Source organism: Homo sapiens, chromosome 5, assembly GCF_000001405.40.
Source record: "Homo sapiens chromosome 5, GRCh38.p14 Primary Assembly".
In the NCBI taxonomy this organism is placed as follows: Eukaryota; Metazoa; Chordata; class Mammalia; order Primates; family Hominidae; genus Homo; species Homo sapiens.
This window is the reverse complement of record NC_000005.10, coordinates 35324760-35333620: the sequence shown is the minus strand read 5'-3', so window position 1 is coordinate 35333620 and position 8861 is coordinate 35324760. Positions and strand designations below refer to the sequence as shown.

The window sequence follows — 8861 nt, the reverse complement described above, 5'->3', positions numbered from 1 at the left end:
GACAGGGGCCAGAATAGAAGAAACGGAATCCAGACCTGAATATCCTTGTGATTTCTCAAGTTGTTTCTGTATCGCTTGTCAGCAATTTGGAAAAACAGCTTAAGGGTTGTGAAATCTGGAACCCTGGGTCCAAATGCTGGCTGTAACATTTGCCAGCTCTGTGGCCTTTGGCAAATTAATTCACCTCTCTGAACCTTGGTTCTCCTGTTGTAAAATGGAGGTAGTATTTTAGTACTTAATTTCAAAAGCTCCTATAAAAATTAAAATAAATAAAAGATACAAGTTCTTGCTGTTAGAATCATTATCTGATTTAATTCTTCTCGTATCCTTATAAGACCATTTTTGTCCCAATTTTACATATGAGACAACCCAATATTTATCATTGTCACAGAGCTAGTAAGCATTTATTTGTGTGTTCATTCAGCAAATACATATGGATGGGAAGCTAGGTGCCTTTGTGGAGCTTTCCATTATGCTGGAGAGTGGCGACGAATATACAAATATACAAATGAGAATTGTATATGCAATTGTATTGTATATGTATATTTGCATGAATTGTATATGTGTGTATATATATATTTGTGAGAATTGTAACATATATTTGCAAATATACAAACAAAAATTGTAGAAGTAATAAGTGCAATGAGAAGAAAGAACAGGGTAATAAAGACAAAGCAATGGAAAAAGAAAGGAGAATGAAGGGAATTCAAAAAGACCCCTGGTGAAGCGACATCCGAGCTGAGACCAGAATGATGGGGAAGATCTGCAGAGCAGCAGAACAAGCAGACAAGAGCAAATACAAGACAAGTGCCTGGGCTGGAAGTTCAGGGATGCCTGCCGGGAAGATGATGGGCTGAATGCCTTACAAGGGAGCCTGCCAACTCTGAGCAAATCTCACATAGTCTCAAGCTTAATAATAGTGTGGATGATTCTGTGGCACTCAGCAGTCTTTCAGGATTATAATGTCCCTAGTCATCAACTTGTTCGTATAGATTTGATAAAATGTGCTTCATGTGTGTCTTTCTGTGATTCCGAGGTAATGGGAGGGCAAGGGACACAGAAGATGACTATGCCTATCTTGTTTCTTGCCATGTGTTAACTTCAAAGGAAGCTCCCTCTCCATTAAGCTTCAATGAGGAGGAAAAAAAGAAATGATATTTTAATGAACAAAGCAATCCAAGCCATTACTTGGTTGCTGGGGCACTGCATGGTGTAATTTGCTCAGCATTTTTGAACTCAGACTGACTAGACTTACAACAGAGCAGAAGCAGTGCTACACAGAACAGTGTCATTAAACCAGAGGTACCTTGATCCCTGCTACTTCCTGTTGCCACATTTTGCACCCTCTTATGGCTCTGATTATGCCATTCTAAAATACCAGATATTTTGAAAACTAGTTGGAATTTGAGGGGAGATTTTGCTCAGACTTGTGACTAAGGCTCAAACCAGTTTGTTTGTGATCCTCCCTGGTTAATCTCTTTTACACATTGTGGTGTGACACGTGGACAATATTTTCAAATGGGAGAAGAATCATTCATGTGTGGGTACAGAAAGGAAGGAGGATCCGAAGCCCCAAGAAGACGTTGGATGGAGCAATAATATAAAATCATAGTGATTCAACATGATTACAATGCTTAACAGGCAGCATAGGCCTTTGCAACATTCAAATCGGTTTCTAAGTGAAAATATATACACTAAGTACGACCAGGAGGTGTCTCAGAATTTCAGCCTGTAAGAATGAGAAGGTAAGAGATGTAAATTATAGGCCACTTATATTGGGCATATTCGTTTCCTAGGGCTGCCATAACAAAGTCCTCAAAACTGTGTGGCTTAAAACAACAGAAATTTATTGTCTCACAGTTCTGGAGGTTAGACGTCCAAAATCAAGGTGCCAGCAGGGCCATGCTCTCTCTCATGGTTTTAGGAGAGAAATCTGCCTTGACGTCTAGCTTCTGGTGTTTTGTGGCAATCTTTGGTGATCCTCAGCTTGTAGATGCATCACTGCAATCACATGGCCTGCCTTCTCCCTGTGTGTCTTCACAGCTTCTTCCCTGTGTGCATGTCTGTCTGTGGTCTAAATTGTCCCTTTTTGTGAGGATGCCAGTCATATTAGCTTAGGGCTGTATTAGGCCATTCTTACATTGCTATAACGAAATACCGGAGACTGCATGTATTAGTTTGTTTTCATGCTGCTGATAAAGACATACCCAAGACTGGGCAATTTACAAAAGAAAGAGGTTTAATTGGACTTACAGTTCCATGTGGCCGGGGAAGCCTCACAATCGTGACAGAAGGCAAGGAGGAGCAAGTCCCATCTTACATAGATGGCAGCAGGCAAAGAGAGAATGAGGACGATGCAAAAGCAGAAACCCCTGATGAAGCCGTCAGATCTCGTGAGGTTTATTCACTACCATGAGAACAGTATGGGGGAACCGCATGCATGATTCAATCATCTCCCACTGGGTCCCTCCCACAACACATGGGAATTATGGGAGTACAATTCAAGATGAGATTTGAGTGGGAACACAGCCAAACCATATCACTGCATAATGTATAAGAAAAGAGGTTTAATTGGCTCATGGTTCTGCAGGCTGTACAGGAAGCATAGCACCAGCATCTGCTTCTGGAGAGGTCTTAGGTTTTTACTCATGGTTGAATGCAAAGAGGGAGCAGGCTTCCCACATGGTGAGAAAAGGAACAAGAGAAGGCAGTGGGGGAGGTACCCCACTTTGCAATAACCAGACCTAGTGAGAACTCACTCACCATAATGACAGCACCAAGCCATAAGGGATCCTCCCTCAGGGCCCAGATACCTTCCACTGGGCCCCACCGCCAACACTGGGGATTACATTTCAACATGAAATTTAGAGGGGACACATAACCAAACTATATCAAGGGCCCATTTAATGAATTTCACTTTAATTCGATTACCTCTGTAAAGACTCTATTTTCAAATGAGGTCACATTCTGTGGTACAAATGGGAGTTAGAACTCCAACGTATTTTTTATGGGGGACATAATTCCACCCAGAGGTTGTACTGCAAGATGTTGGCATTTTCAACTTTTTTTTCTTTACTTTATAAAACTTTCTTGCCTAAAACAGTTTGCTAATTTGTAGGTTTAAGGTGCATTATTCTTTTTTTAACTTTGATTTTAAGTTCAAGGGTACACGTGCAAGTTTGTTACATAGGTAAACGTGTGTTGTGGGGTTTGTTGTACAGATTATTTCATCACCCAGGTATTAAGCCTAGTACTCATTAGTTACTTTTCCTGATTCCTTCTCTCCTGCCACCCTCCATCCCTCCACAGGCCCCAGCGTCTGTTGTTCCCCTCTATGTGTCCATGTGTTCTCACCATTTAGCTCCAACTTATAAGTAAGAACATATGGTATTTATCTGGTTTTTCTGTTCCTGTGATAGTTTGCTAAGCCTAACAGCCTCCATCTCCATCCATATTCCTGCAAAGGATGTGATCTCATTGTTTTTTATGGCTGCATAGTATTCTATGGTGTATATGTACCAAGTTTTCTTTATCCAGTCTACCATTGATAGGCACTAAGGTTGATTCCATGTCTTTGCTATTGTGAATAGTGCAACAATGAATATATGTGTTCATGTGTCTTGATGACTGAATGATTTATATTAACTTTGGGTAATGGGATTGCTGGATCGAATAGTAGTTCTATTTTTAGATCTTTCAGGAATTGCAACACTGTTTTCCACAATGGTTGAACTAATTTACGCTCCCACCAACAGTGTATAAGTGTTTCTTTTTCTCTGCAACCTCACCAGCATCTGTTATTTTTTTACTTTTTAATAACAGCCATCCTGACTGGTGTAAGGTGGTATCTCATTATGATTTTCATTTACATTTCTCTAACCATCAGTGATGCTGAGCTTTTTTTCATATGCTCGTTGGCTACATGCATGTCTTCTTTTGAAAAGTGTCTGTTCATGTCCTTTGCCCACTATTTAATGGGGTTGTTTTATTCTTATAAATTTAAATTCCTTAGAGATGCTGGATATTAGACCTTTGTCAGACGCATAGTTTGCAAAAACTTTCTCCCATTCTGTAGGTTGTCTGTTTACTCTGTTTATAGTTTATTTTGCTGTGCAAAAGCTCTTTAGTTTAATTAGATCCCATTTGCCAACTTTCGCTTTTGTTGCAATTGCTTTTGGCGTCTTCATCTTGAAATATCTGCCCTTTCCTATGTCCAGAATGGTATTGTCTAGATTGTCTTCCGGGGTTTTTATAGTTTGAGGACTTTAATCCATCATGAGTTAAATTTTGTATATGATGTAAAAAGGAGATCCAGTTTCAATCTTCTGCATATGGCTACCTAGTTATCCTAGTACCATTTTTTGAATAGGGATTTCTTTCCCCATTGCTTGTTTTTGTCAGTTTTGTCAAATATCAGATAATTGTAGGTGTGTGGCCTTATTTCTGGGATCTCTATCCTGTTCTGTTGGTCTATGTGTCTGTTTTTGTACCAGTACCATGCTCTTTTGGTTACTGTAGCTCTGTAATATAAAGTCGGATAGCGTGATGCCTCCAGCTTTGTTCTGTTTACTTACGATTGCCTTGGCTATCCAGGCTCTTTTTTTGTTCCATATGAATTTCAAAACCATTTTTTCTGTTCTATGAAGAATGTCACTAGTAGTTTAATAGGAATAGCATTGCATCTATAAATTGCCTTGGGCAGTGTGGCCATTTTATTGATATTGATTCTTCCTATACATTAACATGGAATGTTTCTTCATTTGTTGTTCTGTTGTTTTTCCATTTTGTTTGTCATTCCTGATTTCTTTGAGCAGTGTTTTGTAGTTCTCCTTGTAGAGATCTTTCATCTCCCTGGTTAGCTGTTTTCCTAGGTATTTTATACTTTTTGTGGCAATTGTGAATAGCACTGCATTCCTGATTTAGCTCTCACCTTGACTGTTTTTGCTATATATGAATGTTAGTAATTTTTGCACATTAATTTTGTAACCTGAGATTTTGCTGAAGTTGTTTATCAGCTTAAAAAGCTTTTGGGCTGAGATTAAGGGGTTTTTTATGTAAAGGATTGTGTCATCTGCAAACAGGGATAGTCTGACTTCCTGTCTTCCTATTTGAACGCCCTTTATTTCTTTCTCTTGCTCGATTGCTCTGGCCAGGACTTCCAGTACTATTTTGAATAGGAGTGGTGAGAGAGGGCAGCCTTGTCTTGTGCCAGTCTTCAAGGGAAATGTTTCAGGTTTTTGCCCATTCATTATGATGTTGGCTATGGATTTGTCATATAGATGGCTCTTATTATTTTGAGCTATTTTTTTCAATACCTAGTTTATTGAGAATTTTTAACATGAGGGTTTGTAGAATTTTATTGAAAGCCTTTTCTGCATCTATTGAGATAATCATGTAGTTTTTGTCTTTAATACTGTTTAGATGATGAATCACATTTATCAATATACGAATGTTGAACCAACCTTGCATCACGGTAGATAAGCTTTTTGATGTTCTGCTGGATTTGGTTTGCCAGTATTTTGTTTAGGATTTTTGCATCAGTGTTCATCAAGGATATTGGCCTGAAGTTATCTTTTATTGTGTCTCTGCCAGGTTTTGGTATCAGGAGGATGCTGGCCTCATAGAATGAATTAGGAAGGAGTCCCTCCTCCTCAATTTTTTGGAATAGTTTCCTCAGAAATGATACGAGTTCATATTAGTACATCTGGTAGAATTTGACTGTAAACCCTTCTGCTCCTGGGCTTTTGTTGTTGTTGGTAGGCAATTTATCACTGATTCAGTTTTAGAGATCATAATTGGTTTTTTTCAGAAATTCAATTTCTTCCTGGCTCAATATTCGGAGGGTATATGTGTCCAGGAATTCATCCATTTCTTCTAGATTTTCTAGTTTATGTGCACAGAGGTGTTCATAATATTCTCTGATGGTGATTTGTATTTCTGTGGGGGTCAGTGGTAATATCCCCTTTGGCATTTCTAATTGTGTTTATATGGTTCTTCTCTCTCCTTCTTTAGTCTAACTTGTGGTCTATCTATTTTATTAATTTTTTTCAAAGAACCAGCTCCTGGATTTGTTGATCTTTTGAATGGTTCTTCATGTCTCAGTCTTCTTCAGTTCAGCCCTGATTTTGGTTCTTTCTTGTCTTCTGCTAGCTTTGGGATTGGCTTGCTTTTGGTTCTCTAGCTTTTTAGCTGTGATGTTAGGATGTTAAATTGAGATCTATCTAACTTTTTGATGTGGCCTTTTAGTGCTATAAATTTCCCTCTTAACACTGCCTTAACCATGTCCCAGAGATTCTAGTATGTTGTATCTTTGTTCTCATTAGTTTTGAAGAACTTCCTGATTTCTGCCTTAATTTCATTATTTACCCAAAAGTCATTCAGGAGCAGATTATTCAATTTCATGTAATTGTATGGTTTTGAGCTAATTTCTTAGTCTTGGTTTCTAATTTGATTGTGCTGTGGTCTGAGAGAGTGTTATGATTTCAGTTCTTTTGCACTGTCTGAGGAGTATTTTATGTCCAATTATTTGATCAATTTTAGAGTATGTGCCATGTAACAATGAGAAGAATGTATATTCTGGTGTTTTGGGTGGAGAATTTTGTAGATAACTATCAGGTCCACTTGGTCCAGGGCTCAGTTTAGGTCCTGAATATCTTCGTTAATTTTCTGCCTCAATGATCTGTCTAATACTGTCAGTAGGATGTTGAAGTTTCCCACTATTATTGTGTGGGAGTCCAAGTCTCTTCAAAGTTCTCTAAGAATTTACTTCATGAATCTGGGTGCTCCTGTGTTGGGTGCATATATATTTAGGATAGTTAGGTCTTCTTGTTAAATTGAACCCTTTGCCATTATGTAATGCCCTTCTTTTATATTGTTATTTTTGTTGGTTTAAAGTCTGTCTTGTCTGAAATTGTAATTGTAACCCCTGCTTGTTTCTGTTTTCCATTTGATTGATAGATTTTTTTCCATCCCTTTATTTTGAGCCTATGTGTGTCACTGCATGTGATCTGGATCTCTTGAGGACAGTATCCCAAAGACTCTTGGTTCTTTCTCCAGCTTGCCACTCTGTGTCTTTTAATTGGGGCATATGGCCCATTTACATTCAAGGTTATTATTGATATGTGTGGATTTGATCCTGTCATCATGATGTTAGCTGGTTATTATGCAGACTTGTTTGTGTGGTTGCCTTATAGTGTCACTGGTCTATGTACTTCAGTGTGTTATTGTAGTGGCTGGTAATGATCTTTCCTTTCCATATTTATGGCTTCCTTCAGGAATTCTTTTAAGGCAGCGGTTATCTGGTGATAATAAATTCCCTCAGCATTTGCTTGTCTCAAAAGGATCTTATTTCTCCTTCACCTACGAAGCTTAGTTTGGCCAGATATAAAATTCTTTATTGGAATGTTTTTTAACATGTTGAATATCAACCTCTGATTTCTTCCGGCTTGTAGGGTTTCTGCTGAGAGGTCGGCTGTTATTCTGATGGGCTTCTCTTTGTAGGCAACCTGACCTTTCTCTCTAGCTTCCTTTAACAGTTTTTCTTTCATTTTAACCTTAGAGAATCTGATGATTAAGTGTCTTGGGAATCATCTTCTTGTGAAGTTCTTACTAGGGTTCTTTGCAGTTCCTGAATTTGAATGTTGGCCTCTCTAGCTAGGTTGGGGAAGTTCTCATGGATGATATCATGAAATATGTTTTCCAAGTTTTTTGCACTCTCCCCATCTCTTTCTGGGACACCAGCGAGTTGTAGATTTGGTGTCTTTACATGATGCCATATTTCTCAGAGATTTTATTCATTCCTTTTTATTTTTCTCTATTCTTGTCTGTGTCTTATTTCAGAAAGCCAGTCTTCAAGCTCTAAGATTCTATCCTCCCATTGGCCTATTCTGCTATTAATACTTGTGATTGCATTATGAAATTCTTGTAGTGTGTTTTTCAGCTCTATCAAGTTGGTTATGTTCTTTTCTATACTGGCTATTTTGTCTGTCAGCTCCTGCATTATTTTAATTTATTCTTAGCTTTTTTGGATTGGGTTTCAATGTATTCTGGCATCTCAATGATTTTTGTTCCTATCCATGTGCTGAATTCTATTTTTGTCATTTCAGCCATCTAAGCCTGATCCAGAACCCTTGCTGGAGAGTTGGTCATTTGGAGGAAGAAAACACTCGTGACTTTTTGAGTTGTCAGAGTTCTGGTGCTGGTCCTTTCTCATCTTTGTGAGCTGATGTTCCTTCAATCTTTGAAGTTGCTAATCTTTGGGGTTTTTTTTTCTTTTAACTTATTTGATGACCTTGAGGGTTTCATCATGGTATAAGATGGATTCAGCCAACTGGCTTCATTTCTGGAAGGTTTTAGGGGGCCAGTTCTCAACTCCCAATTCCTGTACTGCATGCTCTAACCCTGGGGAACTTGTACTGGGCCCTGACTTTGTTCTCTGGCTCCTCAAGGGTAGGAATTCACTGACTTAGAGTGGCTGAGGGACTCCCTGACCACTGGTCATTACACTCCGATGGGTAGTATCAGCCAAAGCATTTCCTAGTTCAGTGACAGTGGTATCCATCCTCGTTTGCACCAGCAAACCAGACTTGGGCCCCAGAACGTGCCAGCAGCAGCAGCAATGGCAGCATGGTGCAGTGGGGTGCATGCTTGTCAGCTGCAGCAGGGTGCTAGTGGGTGCTGGGGTGCCTGCCTCCATGCTGGCATTCACCACAATGGCAGAGGCAACGCAGCTCAGGAGTAGGGCAGGGGGGCAGGGTTCCCCTGCTGGTGACTGCACACAGTCATGCTGGTGGCGGTGTTGGCACAGGGACAGGGTGCTGGCAGGCGCAGGTCTGTGTGCATTCTCTGTGTGCCACAGGCAG

At 39.5% G+C, this 8861-nt stretch overlaps 1 annotated feature.

The window, feature by feature from the left end:
* Positions 605–1176: an enhancer, noted in NCBI's record as "OCT4-NANOG hESC enhancer chr5:35332547-35333118 (GRCh37/hg19 assembly coordinates)". NCBI's record gives its function as "activates a minimal SCP1, AML or CMV promoter by ChIP-STARR-seq in naive H9 embryonic stem cells {active_cell/tissue: H9 hESC(naive)}" and the evidence as "EXISTENCE:reporter gene assay evidence [ECO:0000049][PMID:30033119]".